At 46.3% G+C, this 22,658-nt stretch overlaps 1 protein-coding gene, 1 long non-coding RNA gene and 1 pseudogene across 9 annotated transcripts in view, besides 12 other annotated features; 2 read left to right on the forward strand and 1 right to left on the reverse strand.

Annotated features, from left to right (window-relative positions):
* The window catches only part of B4GALT1 (beta-1,4-galactosyltransferase 1), an 81,013-nt gene that overhangs the window by 58,177 nt on the left and 178 nt on the right, over positions 1–22,658 (reverse strand). For 3 of the 6 annotated variants that reach the window (NM_001378497.1, NM_001378496.1, NM_001497.4), the window contains exon 1: positions 4,505–5,083. In NM_001378497.1, coding sequence (NP_001365426.1) covers positions 4,505–4,916 — 412 coding nt within the window. In that variant the 5' untranslated portion in view covers positions 4,917–5,083. Of the gene's footprint in view, positions 1–3,259; positions 3,361–4,504; positions 5,541–8,908; positions 9,147–15,560; positions 15,707–22,658 lie in introns of those variants that run through there. The other 3 variants (XM_047423231.1, NM_001378495.1, XM_047423232.1) reach the window with 3 other exon arrangements.
* Positions 1,246–1,745: an enhancer, noted in NCBI's record as "H3K4me1 hESC enhancer chr9:33163497-33163996 (GRCh37/hg19 assembly coordinates)". NCBI's record gives its function as "activates a minimal SCP1, AML or CMV promoter by ChIP-STARR-seq in primed H9 embryonic stem cells {active_cell/tissue: H9 hESC(primed)}" and the evidence as "EXISTENCE:reporter gene assay evidence [ECO:0000049][PMID:30033119]".
* Positions 1,274–1,393: an enhancer, noted in NCBI's record as "active region_28281". NCBI's record gives its function as "activates an Ori minimal core promoter by ATAC-STARR-seq in GM12878 lymphoblastoid cells {active_cell/tissue: GM12878}" and the evidence as "EXISTENCE:reporter gene assay evidence [ECO:0000049][PMID:35858748]".
* Positions 1,824–1,883: an enhancer, noted in NCBI's record as "active region_28282". NCBI's record gives its function as "activates an Ori minimal core promoter by ATAC-STARR-seq in GM12878 lymphoblastoid cells {active_cell/tissue: GM12878}" and the evidence as "EXISTENCE:reporter gene assay evidence [ECO:0000049][PMID:35858748]".
* Positions 2,084–2,133: an enhancer, noted in NCBI's record as "active region_28283". NCBI's record gives its function as "activates an Ori minimal core promoter by ATAC-STARR-seq in GM12878 lymphoblastoid cells {active_cell/tissue: GM12878}" and the evidence as "EXISTENCE:reporter gene assay evidence [ECO:0000049][PMID:35858748]".
* On the forward strand, positions 4,695–17,730 carry B4GALT1-AS1 (B4GALT1 antisense RNA 1). Of its 3 annotated transcripts, NR_108109.1 has the most exons (5): positions 4,695–4,793; positions 14,880–14,941; positions 15,167–15,216; positions 16,643–16,704; positions 17,072–17,730. It is a non-coding gene; the product is annotated as a B4GALT1 antisense RNA 1 (long non-coding RNA). The 3 variants fall into 3 exon arrangements; NR_108108.1 differs by lacking the exons at positions 4,695–4,793; positions 14,880–14,941 and adding an exon at positions 5,606–6,019; NR_108110.1 differs by lacking the exons at positions 14,880–14,941; positions 16,643–16,704.
* Positions 4,835–5,108: a silencer, noted in NCBI's record as "fragment chr9:33167086-33167359 (GRCh37/hg19 assembly coordinates)". NCBI's record gives its function as "represses an EF-1alpha promoter that drives an FKBP-Casp9 reporter gene in an ReSE screen in K562 erythroleukemia cells {active_cell/tissue: K562}" and the evidence as "EXISTENCE:reporter gene assay evidence [ECO:0000049][PMID:32094911]".
* Positions 4,835–5,516: a biological region, named in NCBI's record as "H3K27ac-H3K4me1 hESC enhancer GRCh37_chr9:33167185-33167750".
* Positions 4,867–5,266: a silencer, noted in NCBI's record as "silent region_19832". NCBI's record gives its function as "represses an Ori minimal core promoter by ATAC-STARR-seq in GM12878 lymphoblastoid cells {active_cell/tissue: GM12878}" and the evidence as "EXISTENCE:reporter gene assay evidence [ECO:0000049][PMID:35858748]".
* Positions 4,934–5,499: an enhancer, noted in NCBI's record as "H3K27ac-H3K4me1 hESC enhancer chr9:33167185-33167750 (GRCh37/hg19 assembly coordinates)". NCBI's record gives its function as "activates a minimal SCP1, AML or CMV promoter by ChIP-STARR-seq in naive and primed H9 embryonic stem cells {active_cell/tissue: H9 hESC(naive and primed)}" and the evidence as "EXISTENCE:reporter gene assay evidence [ECO:0000049][PMID:30033119]".
* Positions 5,417–5,516: an enhancer, noted in NCBI's record as "active region_28284". NCBI's record gives its function as "activates an Ori minimal core promoter by ATAC-STARR-seq in GM12878 lymphoblastoid cells {active_cell/tissue: GM12878}" and the evidence as "EXISTENCE:reporter gene assay evidence [ECO:0000049][PMID:35858748]".
* Positions 5,500–6,064: an enhancer, noted in NCBI's record as "H3K27ac-H3K4me1 hESC enhancer chr9:33167751-33168315 (GRCh37/hg19 assembly coordinates)". NCBI's record gives its function as "activates a minimal SCP1, AML or CMV promoter by ChIP-STARR-seq in naive and primed H9 embryonic stem cells {active_cell/tissue: H9 hESC(naive and primed)}" and the evidence as "EXISTENCE:reporter gene assay evidence [ECO:0000049][PMID:30033119]".
* Positions 5,587–5,666: an enhancer, noted in NCBI's record as "active region_28285". NCBI's record gives its function as "activates an Ori minimal core promoter by ATAC-STARR-seq in GM12878 lymphoblastoid cells {active_cell/tissue: GM12878}" and the evidence as "EXISTENCE:reporter gene assay evidence [ECO:0000049][PMID:35858748]".
* Positions 10,525–11,025: an enhancer, noted in NCBI's record as "H3K4me1 hESC enhancer chr9:33172776-33173276 (GRCh37/hg19 assembly coordinates)". NCBI's record gives its function as "activates a minimal SCP1, AML or CMV promoter by ChIP-STARR-seq in naive H9 embryonic stem cells {active_cell/tissue: H9 hESC(naive)}" and the evidence as "EXISTENCE:reporter gene assay evidence [ECO:0000049][PMID:30033119]".
* RNU4ATAC15P (RNA, U4atac small nuclear 15, pseudogene) lies at positions 11,917–12,042 on the forward strand (annotated as a pseudogene).

Genomic DNA, 22,658 nt, shown 5'->3' on the forward strand with positions numbered 1-22,658 from the left:
TTGGAGTTTCTGAAAGAAGAAAGGAAGAAATGAAGGAGGGAGGGGAGTGATAGGGAAGGGGATAAATACACACTTTGGTTCCCCTAGATGACCTCAGCACTGTTCAATTATGCCTCCCCTGCCTAAATTAAGAGTTCCTGAAGAGGAGGCACTTTGTTTTCTTCTTTGTAGCTCTAGTGCCCAGCATAATACAGGAACACTGCTGGAACTGAAGGAATGAAGTTATCAGATGCCTTAGCCGTCACGGATATCCATACAAGATCACCATACAAGACCCTTCAGATGGACCAAAAGACACACCTTGCAGGGATCTTCTGAAACGCTAGGGCATATCAGGTCACCCCTGAACCTGTGCACTAGCCAACTATTGAATAGTAACCTCCAGGAAGAGCACTAGACAATCCCATCGTGGAATGCTACAGTTCTAAGAAGCTGCAGTTTAAGTCCAATCCCACATTTGGCTCTTACTCCCCATTCCCCAAGGAGTTTCCATTTGGTTCATCAGAGGCTCCACTGCAGGTGGAGGCGGTGCCTTGTGTTTGCTCAAAGTCTGGAATGAATTACAGCAGCCAGGGATCACTCTTATTGCCATAGGCTGTGTCTAAGAAAGCGACCAAGTTTCACCATGAAAGCAAACCAAATAGTCATGGAGGGTATTTCTCAATCTCAGACTGTTAGACAAAGAATGTCTGTGTATACGTCAATACATTATTTTCCACGAAAAAAACAACAGGACAAAACTGGCTTACAAGACTAGTTATCTGAGCCTAAAGCTTCAACCCCCAGGATGAAGCTCCACCCCAAGCCGGAAGGTGATGAGGTTCCAAGGCTCATCCCCAAAAGGGCGAGAGAGAGTCCTTTCCCAAGCCTCAAAGTACACTCTGTCCTGGGCAGCCTGCTTGTGTCCACATGTGTGCATATGAGGGAGGGGGAAACGTGCTGGTAGAGAAACACCTGAGAGCTGAGAGCCCAGCAAAGACCAGCAAGTGCTAGGACACAAACCCTGGCAGACGCTCAGCAACAGCCCCCATAAAAACCAGGGAAACCGGCTCATGAGCAAGTGCTCCTCGGGTGCCCTGGCTACCTGTAGCTGCTGTTTGCTGGTCCAAGTGCCCATCTCTAGATCAGAGTCTTCCCTTTGAACAAATGAAGAGGATCTCCTCAAAGCATAGGTGGGCAAGAGCGGCCTCTGAGGCTTAAGCAGTCTAACACTCACTCCCCTACCCCCCTGAGGGGACTGTACCAACCATCCCAGGCCCCAGCTGAGCCCCCAGGCCAGCCTGCCTCTCTCACCAGTTCAGCTTCAGGTACTGCCCACCTCCCCCCATCACCCTACTCATCTTCAGACTGGCAGTGCCACAGCTGGTCAAGTCCCATTGAGCTGCTGCCCAATCTGAGCAGAGATAAACATGACGGGGGAAGAAGCCCAAGGCCACTGTTCCTCCCATCTCAGCAGGCAAACACCCAGGTGGCCAGAAAAGAGGGCCTCGCTGCAGGGTTATAAGTGGATGCCGCATGGCCCCGCTGAGGACCTGAGACAGGGTTAGGAAAGAAGGATAGCATAGCACCTGCAGGCCTAAACTACCTGGGAGGATTCCCTGGAGAAAGCTGTAGAATCCTCAGGAAAGGCCCCCCTTCCCACTGCATCACTCACTCCTGCAAGCCTCACATTAGCCCAGAGCAGGGTGCCCGGTGTGGGGGCGGGGGGTACTATGGCTCCAAACCTGCAGCCTGCCCCAGGTCACACTAACCCAAGTCTATCTGAAGACTATTCCAAGGCCCTGACAACTCCAACAGCAACCCATCAGCAGTCCAATCCGGTGCCTTATGTCCTCCAGGGAAGGGTTTGCCCATAACCCACACCTGTCAGCTGAGAGGAATCTCAGCATCTGGCCCAGACCCCTGGACACCAGAAAGTAAAGCCAAGTCGGGGAAAGGAACTGCAAGTAGTGAAAAGGCCACAACTCTAAACCCCACGGATGCTTTCTCCCACCAACCTCAAAACCACCCGCAAGGGCTTTGGCTGACACCTGCCCATGAACAGATGGGCTCGACTCCCCCCACCCACACACTCCCAAGGAGACTTTCAGCTTTCTCAAGGCCTCATAGCCAGGAACCTCCATTCTGAGAACTGTACCTAACCACCCAAACCTACAGACCCTATTAAAATGAAGAAAAGACCTCTCGGCCCCCATTTCTGGGGCTGCCTCAGCAGCAGCCTAAACGTCATGGTCTCTTGCATGTCACATGAAAGCAGCCAAAATAGAGAAGGCACTCTCTCCTCGTCCTCCAAAATGTTCTTTCTCAGGAAGTCCTTTCAAGTAGCCAATTATAGTCCATTTAGAAACACCAGTAACTGGTGACAAGCCGATCACTAGCAACACCATTACAAAACAAAACTAAGCAGAGGTATGGTCACGACCTTGTCTCTTACGCTTCTGAGAGAAGATGTGATACTCAAATACCAATGTAATCAACTTTGCGGTACTTTTGTTTAACTTGCTAATTATTTTTTCTTTCTGTGCAATATCCAGGCAACAACTAAAAACAAAAGCAAAAAACCTGGCCTTTTTCTGGCCTGGAGACTCAGTCTCTCTCCCCCTTCACTCTGCTGTGCAGAGCCATTTCTGTGGGAGTCTGAAAAAATGAAACTTTTTAAAGATCCTAAGCAAATATTATTACTATATTATTATTATACGGTGTATTGAGTGCCCGTATTTTTTTTTTTTTTTTTTTTTTTAGACAGTCTTGCTTCGTCGCCCAGGCTGGAGTGTACTGGCACAATCTTGACTCACTGCAACCTCTGCCTCCCAGGTTCAAGCAATTCTCCTGCCTCGGCCTCCTGAGTAGCTGCGATGCCACCACCCCTGGCTAACTTTTTTGTATTTTTGTAGAGATGGGATGGTGTTTCACCATATTGGCCAGGCTGGTCTCAAACTCCTAACCTCAAGTGATCCACTCCCCTCAGCCTCCCAAAGTGCTAGGATTACAGGCGTGAGCCACCATGCCCAGCCTGAGTGCCTGTATTTAATGTACACGATCTCATTTAGTCTTAAAAAAACCCCTGTAAGGTAATCATCGACAACCACATTTTACACAAGGAAGAGATTTTGAGAAACTCGATAGCATGTCTCAAGTCAGACACTTAGCAGCAAGGCAGAGTCCATTTCATTTTATGGGACTAGTCTGCTTCCCAGAATAATCATCAAATGCAAAGGAATTTAATTATCTGCTTAAAAAAACAAGCCCCCATTATTACCACAGTTCACGTCTGACCAATTCCAAGATGTTCTTCCCAAACTTGATATGAACACATTGACGCAATTACTGGCGAAATTGAGCAAGAGTATGTAGTAGCCAGGGCTCTGTGGGAAAGTGACAGAAAACTCCTATTGGCAGGATGTCATCCTGCCTGCCAGGGCCCCTCACTTACAACAATTATCTAAAACCTAGCATTAGAAATGAGAAACCACCTGTGTGGTAACCCTGGAAGCAACCTGTGGTTGCCTTGGGCCTGTGGGCCTGTAGGTTACAGGTCAAAGAGAAGTCCAGACTAGGCTCAGCCAGCTGCTATGAGGAATGCAAACTCACCTACTCAAGCTCTCTGCCTATGCTGAAACAGGCTAGAGGTCAGAGTTCAGATCATCTGGGCAAGATAATTGAGACTCAGGCTGCTACCGGAAGTACCAGAAATGGGCAACGTGGTGTTGACTGGTTATATTTTAGCCCTCTAACACCCAGAGTACACAAGCTCTCTGCCCCTGGGAGAGATCCCTGCTCACCTAGGTTTTGGGTACCCATACCAGGAGGAGGCTAGGGGGAAGGGCTCTCGGTCACGATCCACACAGAGGAAGAAATGAACACACAGTGACAATTTACTGAGGGCTTACCCTCATTAATTAAGCCCTTATTTACCATTGTTCACAATATCTTCCAAAACAACCCCTTGAAAGGGTGACCATTTATTATCCCAGAAGAGAAATATGAGGTTCAGAGAGAAGTCACTTGGCCCAAACGATCAGGAGAAAAACCCACTCAGGAGAGTGGCTCTATGGCAAGACACGTGAACCGAGAGGTCAGTCTCCTTCCCCACCGGGAGCCTCACGTCAGTCCCCAAAAGGGAGTGGATTACTCGAGGTCCCTACCAGAGTTCTCAGTGCAAGGCTGCTCGAAGCCCTAAGCAGACCCAAACTCCAAAACTTCCTGAGCCTCGGGCCACAGCAGGGAAGTCTCCAAGGCCTTCTCTGGTTCTGGGGCTAGAGGGGCCTCGGGACTTCCCTGTGCGGTCCCGGCCCCACGCCTCCAACAGGACTCCCCAGGGACCCACCTCGCAAACCTTCTCTCCCATCCAGTCCCAAGCCTCTGTCTGGGATTTAAAACTCTGATCCAGAAGAGGGAGGCTGGCTGTCGTAGAAGAGCCAGCCTGAGGGAATGTCTGGGGGACCCTGTCGGGGAAATCCGGGGGGGTCCCAATCCTCCGACTGGCGCCGACCCGAGTCCTTACCAAGCAGCGGGGACTCCTCAGGGCAGGCGGGCAGCGACAGTGCGGTGGTGTGGGGCACTGGGACCGAGGTCAAGTTGCTAGCGGGGCCAGGGCCAGAATCCACGACTGGGCTGGAGTCGCCACCCGGGCGCGGCTGGGAGGAGGCGCCTAGAGGAGGCGGCGGCCGGGCCCCTCCGGTCCGGAGCTCCCCGGAGGACTGCCCGATGGCGGCGGCACTGTTCGAGCCGCCCTGCAGCGGTGTGGAGACTCCGACCAGTTGGGGCAGGCGGCTCAGGTCGCGGCCAGCCAGGTAGTAAACGAGGGTGACGCCAAGGTGCAGAGCGCAGACGGCCACGAGCAGGCGGCAGGCCCGCTGTAGGGACGCGCCTGGCATCGCGGCGCTGCCGCTCAGGAGCGGCTCCCGAAGCCTCATCTTCCCGCCGCCGCTTTAAGAAGGGTGTGGGCTACAGGAGGGGAGGCGACCCGCCCGCGGGCCGCCCGCCAGGCGCTGCCCCACAGCGGCGACTAGGGGAGGGCCCGGAGCGGGGGCGGGCGAGCGGCTGAGAGCTGAGACTCCTCCAGCCAGCCAGACCTGGGAGCGGCGAGAAGCCGCCCGAGGCGCCGGCGGAGAGGGGAGGGGCGGGGCCCCGGCGAAGGCGGGGGCGGGGCCGGGCGCGGGGTTTTCTGGACGAGGGCGGGAAGGCGGGGCAGCCCGTGGCGGGATGGGCGCGCTGGGCGGGGCCTCGGGAGGGTGGGCAGCGGGCGGGGCGCCGTCGTGGGGTCCCCGGAGTATGACTGCAGCTCCGACGCTTGGCCGCGCACCGCCCTCTTCCTCCCGAGCCTTTGCGGCGGAGCTTCGGTCGCGTTGAGCCGCGCCTCCTCTTCCTCCTCCACGCTGCCCTCGACAGGCCGCGCCACTTCCTGGGGTGCGAAGGGACTCGGGTGCGAGCCTGGGCCTGCAGCGCGGCGGCGGAGAGAACGGAGAGGACAGCTGGCGGGTGGTTATCTGGAGTGGTTTGGGGCCGCGGCGGCGTTCTGGCCAGTGGGCCTTGGTGGGCTAGGAAGAGAGGCAGAAAAAGGTTACCCAGGAAACGGGCTTCGACGCCGGGCGAGGAGTGGCACGTTCGAAACCCCCTCCCTAACTCAGCCCGGCTGGACCCCGCTGCTTAACGGGGGGTCCTGCGGCAAAGAAAGTGGACGGGTTGCCACTTCTGTGCCTCCCCATCAGGTAGCCTGGGCTATAAGGGGCTCTCAGACCAGCTTGGTTCCAGATGTGTGTGTGGCGGGAGTCCTGTATACTTTGAAGAGGAGAGCAGCAAGAAGCCTCTAACTCCCAGGCCAGCGTGCAGGAGATCAGCCGGCGTTACAGTCTACACTGGGCTACCCACTGTCCCATGAAGTAGCAGTTCTCCCCATGTCGTAGAGTGGGGCCCCGGCAGATTAAGAAACTTTCCTAAGAGCCCACAGCTGGCAAGAGGCAGAATTCTGGCTCCGAAACCCATGTTTTCTACAGGTTTACCCTTTGTTGATTTGCAAGTAAGGGCTGAAGGCTGTGTGGGTGAGAGACTTAGGCACTGAAGCCACTTGACCTCGATTTGACCCAGAGGCCTCAGGCCCTGAGTGAGCAGAGACACCTCACCCCAGAGAAAGACTCATGGAGGTGCTGTCAGTAATGTGGATAGGGAAGTTGAGGGCTCTGGCAGCCAACCATCAGGGAATAACAGTAGCTACCTTATTTTGAGAGTTTGCTGTGTGCCAGTACTATCTGCCATGAAGTAGGTGGTGTTACGGTGTCCATTTCACAGATGAGAAAATAAGGCTTATGAGTTGACACTTTGGTTGTGATCATACAGAATCAACTTTCCTCACTTGACTTCCTGGACACCAGGTCCTTCTGATCTTCCTCACTTCACTGGCCATTTCTGTCTCCTCTCTGGACTTCTTCCCCAGTTGCTGAAGGCCCCAGCCATAGTCCATGATGTTCTTTTGTGTCTACACTTACTGCCTCGGAATGATTTATAATATCCAAATGCTGATCACTGATTTGTCTCCAGCCCAGATCTCTTCCCTGACCTCCAGATTCAACTGCTTATTTTACTGGCATCTCAAACACAATACATCTTGCCCTCAGCAACCTACTCCTTACACACCACTCCCGTTCTTACCTCCCTCAGAGAGTGATACTATTGTTTATTCAGTTCCCCAGAATCTAAAAGGTGTCCTTGATGTGCTTCTCTTGCTCTCAATGCCATTTGCAAGCCCTCAGCCAGCTTTGTCAGTGCTACCTTCAAAACATCAAAATTCACCACCAGCCAACTCTGATGTAACCATCCTCGATCAAGCCACCATCATCTTGCCCTGGGTTATATGGCAGCTACTAATTGGTCACCCTGCTTCCACCTCCTCCATTCCTCCTCCCTAGTCTGTTTTCCACAGAGCATCCAGGAAATCTTTGTAAGCATAAATCAGATCATGCCATTTTGTTCAGAACCAAATCCACAGAAACCCTGTTCAATCTGGTTCCTATTTCCCTCCCCACCCACATCTGTCACTCTACCATGCTGGACCTGCCTTAGCCACACTAGCCTGATAGCTATTCCTTGAACTTGCCATATTTCTTCCTGCCTCAGGGCCTTTGTACTTGCTGTTCATTTAGCCTGAAACACTTGTCCCCAATATTTCATTCAATTCAGGTCTCTTAAATGTCACCTTATGACAGAGACCTTTTCAGACTACCTTATGCAGAATGGCCTCCTGCCCAAATCTGCTTAAACTGCTTGAATTTTTTTTTTTTTTTTTTTGAGACAAAGTCTTGCTTTTGTCCCCCAGGTTGGAGTGCAATGGTGCAATCTCACCTCACTGCAACCTCTGCCTCCCGGGTTCAAGCGATTCTCCTGCCTCAGCCTCTTGAGTAGCTGGGATTACAGGTGCCTGCCATCACGCCGGGCTAATTTTTTGTGTTTTTAGTAGAGACGGATTTCACCATGTTGGCCAGGCTGGTTTCAAACTCCTGACCTCAGGTGATCCGCCCGCCTCGGCCTCCCAAAGTGCTGGGATTACAGGCGTGAGCCACCGCGCCCGGCCTTAACCTGCTTGATTTTTTTCAGAGTGGATATCAACTACCCAACATTATGCATTTATTTTCTGTTGTCTTGCCTCCCTCATTAGAAAATCAGCTTCATGAGAACAGGAAATTTCTCTCTTGTTCACTACTGTATCTTCAGCCCCTAGATTTTTTTTTTTTTTTTTTTGAGACGGAGTCTCACTCTGTCACCCAGGCTGGAGTGCAGTGGCGTGATCTTGGCTCACTGCAAGCTCTGCCTCCTGGGTTCACGCCATTCTCCTGCCTCAGCCTCCCAAGTAGCTGGGACTACAGGTGCCTGCCACCATGCCCGGCTAATTTGTTTGTATTTTTAGTAGAGATGGGGTTTCACCGTGTTATCCAGAATGGTCTCAATCTTTTGACCTCGTGATCTGCCTGCCTCGGCCTCCCAAAGTGCTGGGATTACAGTTGTGAGCCACCGTGCCCGGCCGATATTTGTTAAAATACTTTTTAAATACTGTGATCATCTTAATGATGTGGGAAGGAGAGAAGGGAAAAATTATTGCTAACTTAGTTTAGAACGTAAAGTGGAGTTCTCCAAGGAGTTGGTAAAGGTGAAGCTGACCCCAGCATCCTGTGTCTAGGGGTAAAGTCGGCCTGGCCAATGAGTGAGGGTGGGTCAGATTAGTCCTGCAACTGAAAATTAAGTGGAGGGGGAAATGGGGATGTGTCTTCCATTGGTATAGATGATAGCCAGGAGACAGGACTGCGGGGGTTATTAAGAATCACAGACCTGTCCCAGGACACACGTGGCCAGAAATCGAGGAAAAGGAACAACACTTGCTGATTGCCTATCCCTCAGGAACTTGCAGAGTCCACTGAGGCCTGAGCACTAGTCTCAGCTGCCCCTGATCCACAGGCACCTAGAAGCAGTCAATTACAAATAATACAGATGGCCCAGAAACCTTTGGGACAACATTGTCCAGCAGTCCAGACATTAACTGGTGCTAGTGAGACAGACCCAGGCAACCTTTCTCCCCACTGTCTCCAGCTCTTTTCCACTCTCTACTTCGTCAGGTGAAAAATTAATCCCATCCGGCGAGACAAATGCAGGAGGAAGTTGCAGTGCTGATTGGCCAAAAGCTGGCATGGGGGCTTGGCCGTTGGCCCATCCATGTGCTCATCTGCCCAGAATCACCAGCTCCCTGCTTCTCCCTGCAGCTGGCCTTCCTCTGCCCTCCTATGGCGCCCTCTTCTGCACCTGCCAGGTTACATTTCTGTTTTTACCCTCATGGATCAGAAGGGCATCAAATAGTGCCCGGCACATGGTAGACAGTTATTTCAGTCATCTATTGCAGCGTAACACCTACCCCAAAACTTACTGTTTTGAAGCAACAATTTCTCGCAGTTTTGCAGTTGGCTGGGCAGCTTTGCCTCACATGGTGTCAGCTGAGGCACTGGCACAGTTGGAAGTTCCAAAATGGCTTCACTCATGTGAATGGCAGTTGGGGCTGTCTGGGGGCTGGAAACTCAGAATGGGTTGGGTCATGGGGCCTTCATTCTCCACTTGGATCTCTCCACAAAGGACTCTCCATGTGGCTGCTTGGGTTTCCTCACAAACTAGAGGAAGCATTCCAAAAAGGAGCATTTCAAAAATACAGAAGATGGAGATCCCTGAAAGCCCAGCCTTAGCATCACTTCTAAAGCATTCTTTTGCTTAAAACAAGTTTATAGGGCAGGCCAGATTCAAGGGGAATAAAACTGGCTCGGCCTCTTGTTTTTACTTTTTTTTTTAGACAGGATCTTCCTTTATCAACCAGCCTGTAGTGCAGTGGTGTGATCATAGGTCACTATAACGTCAAACTCCTGGGCTCAAGTGATTCTCCTGCCTCAGCCTCCCGAGTAGCTGGGACTACCGGGATGCGCCTCCACGTCCAGCTAATTTTAAAATTTTTAGTAGAGATGAGATGTTGCGATATTGCTCAGGCTAGTCTCGAACTCCTGAGCTCACGCAGTCTTCCTGCTTTGGCCTCCCAAAGTGCTGAGATTACCAGCATGAGCCATTTCACCTGGCTGACTCCACCTCTTGATGGGAGGAGGGACAAAGAATTGTCAGGCACCTTTATTCCACAGTAGTTTGCCCAATGGCCACAGATTATTTAGATTCTTCTCACAGGTAAAATACATTAGTGTCTTCTTAAAATCCCCCAAAAGTTCAACTAATTAAGACTTCAGGTCCAAAGTATTGTCTAAATCAGATCCAGGTGTTACCGACCAAAGCGCAAAAGCACTCACTGCCCAATGTTCTAGAAACCAATACTGTGACACCTGGTTTTTGAGAAAAGAAAAGCTTTGTACTGCAGGTAGGCCAACAAGGAGATAGAAGAGTCCAGCTGAAATCTCCCTGTGGTGACTTTAGGTCTCCCTGGGCTGGCTCAAGTCTCCCTGGGCTGGCTTTAAGGTAGTGTTTTTATCAGAAAAATTTTGGGGGGTGGATTCTGAGATTAGTAAGTAACTGGTGGAAGGAAAGGGGAGGTCTGGAAAGTCCTCAGTCATGCACAATTATTTCTTCATGCCTCTTCACTGGTCACATGTGCAATTCAGGGGGATTTAGAATGAAACGTGGTGGAAATTTGGGTTGTGACACCAGAAAGCTCTTTCTGTGAACAGCCCAGTTGCCCTGTTTGTTCCAACTGATTTCAGCCAGTTCTTTTATCTCAAGCAGAGGGAGTTTTGGCATTTCAGCACATTGTTTCTTTTCTTATCTGCCATCCTGCAAACTCAGGAATTTCTGTTAGTCATTGTTTTCTTTAACTCTTTGGGACACAGTTTCACAGGTATATTCCTCAGGTTCAGGGATGGGAGATACGGATAGCTGGGTGCAGTGGCTCACGCCTTTAATCCCAGTGCTTTGGAAGGTTGAGGTGGGAGGACCACTTGAGCCCAAGAGTCTGAGACCAGCCTGGGTAACATCTCTAAAAAATAAAGATAAAAGAGGGACCTGTGGATTATAAAGACAAATTACCTCATTCCTTTTTTTTTTCTCCCTTTTCCTGAGAAATTCAGTTAAAAAGTCACTAGGTAGGGTTGAGCAACATAAGAGTCCAAACAGCATAGACAGGGTGTCAAAGCCCAACCAGGATAGGGAGGGGTAAGGGTGGGGGTGGGGAGGATAGCAGCCCAGCAAAGAGGGTCAAAGCCCAGGAGAGCAAAAAGGGCCTCAGGACCTGAGCATGGTAGGAAGTCTCCTGTGAAGTAGGGCAACCGAGTACAGGGTGTTGAAGCCAAGATGTGATGAAGAGAGTGTTGAACACAGCAACACTGATTAAAAAGTAACCATATGGTCGGGCATGGTGGCTCACGCCTGTAAACCCAGCACTTTGGGAGTCCAAGGCGGGCAGATCACCTGAGGTCAGCAGTTAGAGACCAGCCTGGCCAACGTGTTGAAACCCCATCTCTACCAAAAATACAAAAAGTAGCTGGGCTTAGTGGCACATGCCTGTAATCCACAGCTACTCGGGAGGCTGAGGCAGGAGAATCACTTGAACCTGGGAGGCAGAGGTTGCAGTGAGCCGTGATCGGGCCATTGCACTCCAGCCTGGTCTACAGAACGAGACTCCGTCTCAAAAAAAAAAGCAAAAAAAAAAAAAGCAACTATATATAGATGAGAGTTACCCAAGTTTCTGACAGTCAGAGGAGTTACAAATATAGACAGGGAGAAAACTAAAATGAATCCTTTGATACATTATTTAAATTTGAGAAATTGGTGTGAATTCATTATTTTCAATATAGTGATAGATGAAATAAGAATGGTGTGTGTGTGTGTGTGTGTGTGTGTGTGTGTGTGTGTGTATTGTCTGGGAGCAGAAATTTCCCAAGGCCATGAGCACATCTAGCAGCCAAGTCTTGGTTTCTAAACACCATTCTCCAATAAAAGGACCTAGGTATTCTTGGAGAAAAGGCTGATTGCTGATTCCAGGGACTGGCTAGGAATATTACAAGATGAACCTGGAAACTCTTGTGTCAGAAAGTGAGGAAGAACTCAAAGAATGATAAGATTATGTCAAAAAGACACAGAAATCAGTTTGAAGGGGCTCCCATTGGCCAAATATGGAAAAATTTGAGAATGAAAATAAATATTGATAGAAACTATTACCAGTTGAACAAAATAAACTATGAGTCCATAATGATATAAATAAATGGAATTTGATGAGTAGCAATATATTTACCTAATTTCAAATACTGCCTTAAGAAATGCTAACAATTTTAATGGGAAACATTAGAGAAATCCAAATTGTGAGACATTCTAGAAAATAACCATCCTGAAATCTTCCAGAATGTCAAGAAAATGTTCTCATCACAATTGAAGGAAAATAAAGAGAAATAACTAACCATCCTTTTCTTGGGGTTGCACTACTGTCCAAAGAGCATGTAGTGAGGGCAGTACTGCTAACGTCTACACAACACACCCACCTCAACTAGAGCTTTGCTTTAGCTTGGTGTAATTTTTGGAAAAATGAAAAACTGAAGGAAAAAAACAATGCAACATGTGATTCTAAAGTGGATCCTCCTATTATAAAGAATATTCTCTGGGCATGGTGGCTCACATCTGTAATCCTAGCACTTTGGGAGGCTGAGGCAGGCAGATCACCTGAGGTTAGGGGTTCAAGACCAGCCTGGCCAACACGGCGAAACCCCATCTCTACTGAAAATACAAAAATTAGCTGGGCATGGTGGCACATGCCTGTAATCCCAGCTACTCAGGAGGCTGAGGCAGGAGAATCGCTTAAACCTGGGAGGTGGAGGTTGCGGTGAGCGGAGATCGTGCCACTGCCCTCCAGCCTGGGTGACAGAGTGAGACTCCGTCTCAAAATTACATGTATATCTTATTGGGGGCCAGAAGCAGTGGCTCATGCCTGTAAATCCCAACACTTTGGGAGGCCAAGACAGGCAGATCACTTGAGGCCAGGAGTTCAAGACCAGCCTGGACAATATGGTGAAACCCCGTCTCTAGTAAAAATACAAAAATTAGCTGGGCATGGTGGTGTGCACCTGTAATCCCAGCTACTTGGGAAGCTGAGGCAGGAGAATCGCTTGAACCTGGGAGGTAGAGGTTGCAGTGAGCCAAGATCACGCCACTGCACTCTATAGCCTGGGCGACAGAGCAAGACTCTGTCTTAAAAAAAAAAAAAAAAAAAAAAAAAAAAAAAAATATATATATATATATATATATATATATATAAAATTGGAGGCCTAGTGTGGTGGCTCATGCCTATAATCCCAGCACTTTGGGAGGCCAAGGCAGGAAGGCTGCTTGAGGCCAGAAGTTTGATACTAGCCTGGGTAACATAGCAAGACCCCTGTCTCTATGAAAAATTTTAAAAATTATCTGGACATGGTGGTGCATACCTGTAGTCCTAGCTACTTGGAAGGCTGAGGCAGGGGATCATTTGAGCCCAGGAGTTTGAAGTTATAGTAAGCTATGATCAAGCCACTGTACTCCAGCCTGAATGACAGTAAGACCCTGTCACTAAAAAAATTAAAAATTAAAAAAAAGAATATTATTGGGATGACCAGTGAAACTTGGATGGGGACTAAGCATAAAATGATAATAATGTAGCCATGTTAACTTCCTGTTTTGATGATTATATTGTGGTTACACTGGAAATATACACAAAAGGGTTTTGGAGTAATAGGGCATCATATCGGAAATTTACTCTCAAATACCATGATGTGCCACGTAACAACATTTCAGTCAACAATGGACAGCATATAGGATGATGGGTCCATAAGATTATAATAAAGCTGCCCTGTACATGTATACTATTTTTTATATTTTACAGTGTATTATTACTGTACCTTTTCTATGTTTAGATATATTTAGTTATACACTTATCATTGTGTTATAATTGCCTACAGTATTCAGTACAGTAACATGTTGTGCAGGTTTGTAGCCTAGGAGCAATAGGCCATACCATATAACCTAGATGTGTAGTGGGCTGTACCATCTGGATTTAGACTCACTCTTTGATGTTTGCACAATAACAAAATTGACTATCGACACATTTCTCAGAAAGAATCCCCATGATTAAGCAACGTATGACTGTAGTCTAAACAAATTATTTGTACTAAACTCGCAACTTTTACTTAAGTGACTTTTCCCCCACACGTCTAACATATAATGGAAATACAAGGACAAGAAAACCACAATAGACACTCCCATTTAGAATAGGAGATTAATAAGAGGCACATAACAGCCATTAGCAAATGTGAGAACTAACCATGCACTTGTCACCAGCTCCCCCTGCTCCAGGGGCAGGGAATGTGATTCTCTGTGGCTCTTATCTCTACCCTTGGATGGAGCTCTTGGCTCCATCCTTTGAGTCATTCCTCCTTTTCCAAAAGAAATAGGCTTTGTTCACAGTCCGGTAACTTGTTCAAGATGCTTCACTGGGTACCCGGTGTGCTCTTTTCATGTTGAACTATCTTTGTCTGTTTTAGCTCAAGCCACTACTGCTTACACTGGTACAATTCTTGTAGGGGAAAAAACTGTGGACTTTCCGTTAATTTTATTTTTACTCAAACCATACCCCCAAATCTCAAGATAAGCCCTTCCCTCCTTTAGGCTGTGAATTACAGTGCTGTGAACCAAAACTTTAAGACTCTTAGAAGCACTTTAGTCTACATGAGAGGTTTAGGAGGCGCTGTTTTAAGGCTTTCTGAGATCTCAACAGTCTTACAACCATAGAAAAGAACAAAATTATGTCCTTTGCAGCAACATAGATGCAGCTGGAGGCCATTATCCTAAGCAAATTAATGCAGGAACAGAAAACCAAGTACCACATGTTCTCACCGATAAGTGGGAGCTAGACATTGAGTACACTCGGCACAAAGGTGGGAACAGTAGACACTGGGGACTCCAGCAGAGGTGGAGGGACAAGAGTTGAAAAACTGCCCATCAGGTACTACCTGCTGGGTGATAGGATCATTAGAAGCCCAAACCTCAGCATCATGCAATATACTCATATAACAAACCTGTACACGTACCCCCAAATCTAACATTTTTTTTTAAATTGCTACCCATATATTACTATATGCCAATAATATACTAATAGAGTACAAAAAATAACTAATATAACATTTGAGAAACGGCAACAAAAAAGTCTTACAGCCACATCCGTGACCTTAAGGCCCCATTTTACGGGGAAGGTCTTAGAATTAATATTCCCTCTAGGTTTTAATTTACTTTGAGCATTTCTTTTTTCTGGCTGTATATAATGCCCTGGGCCCTCTATAGTTTCTCAAAATTTTGCTTGAAACAAAATAGTTTCTTCTTCCTGTACTTTTTCACAGGCAGCCAAAGGGAGTAAGTTGGCATTTTGAACATTTTGCCTAGAAATCTCCATACCAAGGCGGCAAGTTCAATTATTTTCTCTTATCCATGTTACTACATGTTACTACTATGTCACTTAGGTCCTGAATAATTTCCCAACAACTTCCTCGCTGTGTTGTCATCCTCCTTCCTACCCTTCAGGACTCCGCAAGCTTCCTTATTCCAAAGTCAATGTTATATGTTTTAGATTTTTGTTATGGAAGCTCCCCACTTCTGGGTGTTAATTTGTTTTAATTATCTATTGCAGGGGTTGGGAAACTAGTTTCCATGGCCAAACCTAGCCCACCGTCTGTTTTGGTAAGTGAAAATGTATTAGAACTCGGCCATGTTCTTTTGTTTGTGTATTTTCTATGGTTGTTTTCATACTATGATGGCAAAGTTAAGTAGTAGCAACAGAGATCATCTGGCCTGCAAGACCTAAAATATTGACTATCTGATCTTTTACAGAAAGTTTGCCAATGCCTGATTTATTGCTATGCAAAACAAACAAACAAAAAAAACTACCCAAAATGAATCTCTTAAAACAACAATTTATTATTTCTTACAGTTATGTGCATTAACCATTAACCCAGTGGTTTTCTGCTTCACAGAGTGTTGAGTGGGGTGGTAGAATGTCTGGAGGTACAAATGACCTTACTCACATGGCTGGAAGTTGGTGCTAGTTGCCAACTGGGAGCTCAGCTGGAACTGTTAGCCAGGTGTCTCACTTCTCCTCCTCCAGGTGGGCCCCCACAGAGTTGCTTGGGCCTCTTCATAGCATTGCAGCTGGGTTCTCAGAAGGAGCATTCTGAATGCATAGGAGGAAACAGAAGACTTTTTTTTTTTTTTTTTTTTTGAGACAGGGTCTTGCTCTGTTACCCAGGCTGGAGTGTACTGGTGTGTGATCTTGGCTCACTGCAACCTCCACCTCTTGGGCTCAGGTGATCCTCCCAACTCAGCCTCCCGAGTAGTTGGAACTACAGGTGTGCGCCACCATTCCCAGCTAATTTTTGTATTTTTAGTAGATATGGGGTTTTGCCATGTTGCCCAGGCTGGTCTCAAACTCCTGGGGTCAAGCTTTCTACCCACCTCAGCCTCCCAAAGTGCTGGGATTACAGGCGTGAGCCATTGTGCCTGGCCCAGAAGATCTCTTCAGGCCAAGGCTCAGAAGTTATACAGTGATACATAGCTACATTCTATTGGTCCACATAAGTCACAGGACTAACCTAGATTCAAGGGGAGAGGAAATAGACTTCACAAATTGATAAGAGATGTAGGAAAGAATTTGTGGCCATCTTCAATCTGTCACAACACAAATAAACTGCGTGTCAGGATGCTATTACCATCTATATTTTGTTCTGAGTGCTCAACTATACTTGTTCTCATGACCCGAAGTGGGTCTGCTTCCTCCTCTCACCCCTTTATCCCAACCTGTACACAGGTGCCATGGCACTGGGTCCAGGCCCTGCTCAGTGACTTTGGTCATCCATTTCCAGCAACATCTATACCCAAGACAGGATATGTCTACAGTCTGTTGGGATAGGTTATTTGCCTCAAGTGCTGCTTTCTCAGATCCTAGAAAGGCCAACAGAAGCCTGGCAACTGCCTTCAATTGCTGTATCTTAAAATTGTTGGAATATCCCATAACTAATTGCTAATTAGTTATTGCCATAATAATGCTGCTTAGCAAATAACGACCAAATTGAAGTGCCATACAATAATAAAGCATGTATTTCTCTCTCAGGTGTCCATGGATTGGCGGGGACAGCTCTGCTTAAGGATGTAGTAGCTCTGCAGGTTGGCTAGGTTAGTCTATGGCATGTGTCTCTATTTCTTCTGTGATGCCCACCAAGGGCATGTTTTTCACATGGCACAAGATGGGTGAACAAAAAGCCCCAATATCTCATAAAGCCTGTGGTTGGAATGGTCACTTCCACCCACATTCTATGAGCCAAAACAAGTTGATTGGCCAACCCAACATTATCATATTCTGCCTCTAGTGGGAGAAACTTCAAAGTCACATGACAAAGGGACTGGATATAGGGAGTGGTGAAGAATTGGGAATAATGCAACCCTCCATGAATTTTTCTTTTTCTGGAGCTAGAATGGTGGCTGGGAATTGTACTCCAGAACAGCTCACAATTTGTAATAAATCTGGTCTCTTTTCCTCCAGTTTCCTGTTCTTCCCAACCTGCGCTATGGACTTCATCAGATTTCAGCATCAGAGAGAATATGGAAGGACATCGACCCTAACTTCATCCAGTGAGGATTTCCACACACCATACACTCTCTGAGAGTTCTCTTGGCTTTGTGTGCACACCTCCAGTGACAGGGAGCTCGCTATGTCATGAGGCAGCCTGCTCCCTTGTGGCTATCACTGAACCAACTATTAAGCCTTCTTATACAAACAGTCCCTGACTTACTGTTAGACTTACAACTTTTTGATTTTACAGTGGTGCAAAAGCAATATGCATTCCATAGAAACTGTATTTCAAATTTTGAATTTTGATCTTTTCCAGGCTAGCAACATATGAAGACCAACCTTCTATTTTTAAAATAGGCTTTGTGTTAGATGCTTTTGCCCAACTATAGGTTAATGTAAATGTTCTGAGAATATTTGAGGAAGGCTAGGCTAAACTGTGATCTTTGGGAGCTTAGATATGTTAAGTGCATTTTCAACTTACAATATTTTCAACTTACGATGAGTTTATTGGGATGAAGCCCGTTGTAAGTAAAGGAGCATCTGCATTAAGCTAAAATCCATGTCTATAACTTCCTCAGTAATATCAAGTTTGTTCCTTGGAGCCAGAGAATAAACTGAATCCTTTTCCACGTGATGGTCTTTCTGTTGTTTAAAGAGATCAGCCATGTACCTTCTCCCAACCTGAAGACAACTCCTCACCAGGCTACCTATCAATTCTACCTCTTTTTTTAAGAGATGGGGTCTCACTATGTTGCCCAGCCTGGTCTTGAACTCTGGGCTCAAGTGATCCTCCCACCTCAGCCTTCCGAGTAGCCAGGATTACAGGCACACACCACCATGCCCAGCTCCATTTCCATTGTTCTTCATGCTTCCTTATTGAGTTCCTTCCCTGTCCCGATTATTCGTCTTTGATTGGGCTTTGACTACCTGGGCATTTAGTAGGGTCCATAACTGAATGCAGCATTCCAGCCGGGGTCTAAGCAACAGAATAGAGCAGGACCATCATCTCCGCAATTTCCAATATCATACTTTCATCAATGTCTTCCGAAACAACATTCACTTTTTTATGTTCATGTTAAACTAAAAGACAGGGCTGAAGGCAGCATCCTGGAACAGTGGAAACATTCCTATAAGTTGACTTGAATCCTTTAAATAAAGTCCATGTACCAACCAGAGTTTTTGACTATTAAAACAGTCAATTATAACACTGCTCTGCCGTGGCCACCATTGCCCATGATTATTTAACACCACTGCTACAGGACCGTTCATGCTGCTGCTGCCTCCATGAATAATTTCGACACCATTCCTGCCTCTTAGCGTCACTCCTAAGAATTCAGAGTCTGCAGTGGGAATGACCGAGCCAATTCACATGCTTGAGCCCTAGCTGCTAGGTAGGGGAGGAACGAATCTTCCCCTTTCTGCCTCCATGGTGGGAGCTAGGGCATTGAGCCCTCCAGTACTATATACACTGGAAAATTTTCCAAAATAAGATGGGGGATTGCCTGTTGAGTGACAAGTATAATGGCAAAGGTTCATTCCAGTCATTTAAAAAAGTTCAATTTCCCTTTAATTGTACTATCATCCAACCCATATTTTCCTTTTTAGTCACAGGAATAACATGCCATAGATTGTTAAAGGCCGACCCAGTTTGCCAACAGACTATCAAATGCAGCACTGTGATCTGGCAGTTTAGGGACCTGTTAAAAAAAGAAATGTGATAGTCTTTGCTCTGGCTTGTTCTGAGAAATCTCCACTTCCTTTACATCTTTAAAAGTCTATCCTTGGCCAGGCACAATGGCTCACGCCTGTAATCTCAGCACTTCAAGAGGCTGAGGCAGGAGCATTGCTTGAGCCCAGGAGTTCAAGATTAGCCTGGGCAACATAGTGAGACCTTGTCTCTATTAAAAATAAAAAAAATTAGCCAGGCGTGGTGGTGGTATGTGTCTGTAGTCACAACTACTCATGAGGCTGAGGTGAGAGGATTGCCTAAGCCCAGGAGGTTGAGGTGGCAGTGAGATGTGATTGCACCACTGCATTCCAGCCTGGGCAACAGAGCAAGACCCTGTCTTACACACACACACACACACACACACACACACACACACAAACTATTCTTAGATAAGAGTGTAGTTTGCAGAATCAACGTCTTCCTGTAATGGACAGGTATTGATTTTTTGTGCCTCCTCTTCAACATTACTCCTTCTGTTAGAGACTCCCACTCTTCCCTATGTGGTTGGGACAGGCTAACTACGGGGTCGCTATGGCCTGGGTGACTTATATCTGGCCAATCAGAGCACTATACCCCTCTGGCCACAGTTGATTTGTTCAAGGATCAACATGTGGCCCAAGAAGGACTAATGAGCAATGTCCCTTCTTCTCCCAGGACTTCTGCTGCAAATGTTGAGTAAAAGGCTTTTCCTTTCCTCTGGAATGGCCAGTCTGGAGTAGCAAGGGTGCTGTATTAGTTTCCAAGGACTCCTCTAACAAATTATCCAGACTTGGTGGCTTCAAACAACAGAAATTGATTCTCTTACAGTTCTGGAGGCTAAAAGTCCAAAATATCAAGGTGTCAGCAGGGACAGGCTTCTTCTTCTTTTTCTTTTCTTTCTTTTTTTTTTTTTTTAGATAGGGTTTCACTCTGTCACCCTTCCTAGTAGCTGGGACCACAGGCATATGCCACCATGCCCAGCTAATTTAAAAAAATTTTTTTTTGTGGAGACAAGGTCTCACTCTGTTGCCCAGGCTGGATACGCTCCTTCTGAAAACTCTAAGAAAGAATTCTTTCTTGCCTCTTCTAGCTTCTGGTGGCTCGCAGCCATCCTTGGCATTCCTTGGCTTGTAGCAGCATCATTCTATTCTCTGCCCTCATCTTCACATGGCCTTCTCTCTGCCTATGATTTTCTCCTGTTGATGTGTCCTCTCCTCTTATAAGGAAACCAGTCATTGGACTTGGGCTCACCCTAATCCAGTATGACCCCATCTTGGCTTAACTAATTGCATCTGCAAAGACTATTTCCAAATAAGCTCAATTCTGAGGTTTCGGATAGAAATGAATTTTGGAGGTACGCTGTCCATCTCATTACAGCCATTATATGGAAAGAGCCTATCTGAGAAATAAGCCAAAAAGGAAGCTAGAGGGTTACGCCCTGGTATGCTGTATCAGACTCCCCCTGGACTGACCAGTTATGTAACCTGGTGAATTACTCCTCCCTTTTTTCCCCCCATAAGCTGATTTGAAGTAACAGAAGGAAACTGATTACCACTCCTCCTTTTGCAAAATTAAAAAATCATTTACACAGGACTAATGTTCCAAACTTCTCCCCGCTATATTCATCCTCCAAAAGTCTCTGACAAGGATTGAGCAATTTCATTTGGAAATTCTCTTAGTGCCTTGGATTTACTTCATTTGGCTAGGAAACTAACTTATTTTGACAAGCGAGATGATCTCTTACAATGTCTTCAGCCATTCCTTATAATTTTTATTGTGGAAAATTTTAAAAATATACAAAAATAGAGAAAATAGTGTAAGTCTCCAAGTTCCCATCACCCCACTTAAAAAAAAAATCAACATTTAGCCATGTTTATTTCATCTATACCCCCAACTTCCCTCCACCTCCTGCAGGATTAAAGGAAAATTCAGATAACATGTACAGTAGTACCCGCTTATCCATCGCTTTCCGATGTCTCAGTTACTGGAGGTTAACCGTGGCCTAAAAATATTAAATGGAAAATTTCAGAAATAAAAAATTCATAAGTTTTAAATTGCACACTGCTCTGAGTAGTGTGACGAAATCTTGCCCTGTCCCTTGCCATCCCACCCAGGACATGAATCATCCTTTTTTCCAGCTTATCCATACTGTGTATATTGCCTGCTCATTAGATAGCTACCCATTAGTAGCTGTTTTGGTTATCAAATAAAAAAAACATAGGATGATACCCAAAGGACTATAAATCATGCTGCTATAAAGACACATGCACACGTATGTTTATTGCGGCACTATTCACAATAGCAAAGACTTGGAACCAACCCAAATGTCCAACAATGATAGACTGGATTAAGAAAATGTGGCACATATACACCATGGAATACTATGCAGCCATAAAAAATGATGAGTTCATGTCCTTTGTAGGGACATGGATGAAATTGGAAATCATCATTCTCAGTAAACTATCGCAAGAACAAAAAACGAAACACCGCATATTCTCACTCATAGGTGGGAATTGAACAATGAGATCACATGGATACAGGAAGGGGAACATCACACTCTGGACTGTTGTGGGGTGGGGGGAGGGGGGAGGGATAGCATTGGGAGATATACCCAATGCTAGATGACAAGTTAGTGGGTGCAGCGCACCAGCGTGGCACATGTATACATATGTAACTAACCTGCACAATGTGCACATGTACCCTAAAACTTAAAGTATAATAATAAAAGAAAAAAGAAAATGTGGCACATATACACCATGGAATACTATGCAGCCATAAAAAAGGATGAGTTCATGTCCTTTGCAGGGACATGGATGAAGCTGGACACCATCATTCTCAGCAAACTAACACAGGAACAGAAAACCAAACACCGCATGTTCTCACTTGTTAAGTGGGAGTTGAACAATGAGAACACATGGACACAGGGAGGGGAACATCACACGCTGGGGCCTGCTGGGGGTTGGGGGTGCTAAGGGAGGGATAGCATTTAGAGAAATACCTAATGTAGGTGATGGGTTGGTGAGTGCAGCAAACCACCACGGCACATGTATACCTATGTAACAAACCTGCACATCCTGCACATGTATCCCAGAACTTAAAGTATAATAATAATAAAAAAGGAAATATAAAAAAGAAAAAGAATTGTCATCAATCTTGAAAAATAAAACAAAATAAAATAAAGTCACTCTTGTACACACACACACACACACACACACACACACACACAAAAACATAGGATGTATGTAGGGTTCAATACAATCAGCAGTTTCCAGCATCCACTGGGGGTCTGAGAACATATACCCAAGGATAAGGGTGGACTACTGTAATTAATTTACCCTCTTCAACCACTATCCTGAGCTTAAAATTCGCTCATAACTGCATTTGATAAGCTCTGTCGCCTGCAAGACAAAGCAAGTTACTTTACACATAGGAAGTGGACAATTGAGGTTTGTAAATACAGTCCCTGCCCTCAGAATTTTCAGTCTAATAGGAGAGAAAAGACAAGAACCTCCTCCAGGTGCTCACCAAACTTTAATGTGGATCACCTGGGGAGCTGTTAAAATGCAGACTCTGTTCAAGTAGTTAGGAACTGCATTCTGGAGTTCCAACAAGCTCTCGGGCAATACCAATGCTGCTGATCCACAGATCACACTTTGAGCTGCAACGCTCTAAACCATCATGCAAAGGAGATAATGATAGGGTGCTGTATAAGGTAGAGATAATGGGCCACACTGTTTAAGACCTGGCTTGTTAAATAGCTTCCCACAATTATCCAAATTAATTTTTTAAATATTCCAGAATGAGACTAACATCAAGCCAACCACCAGGGAGCCACAAAAGAAATATTAT

This window comes from Homo sapiens, chromosome 9, assembly GCF_000001405.40.
Source record: "Homo sapiens chromosome 9, GRCh38.p14 Primary Assembly".
Lineage (NCBI taxonomy): Eukaryota > Metazoa > Chordata > Mammalia > Primates > Hominidae > Homo > Homo sapiens.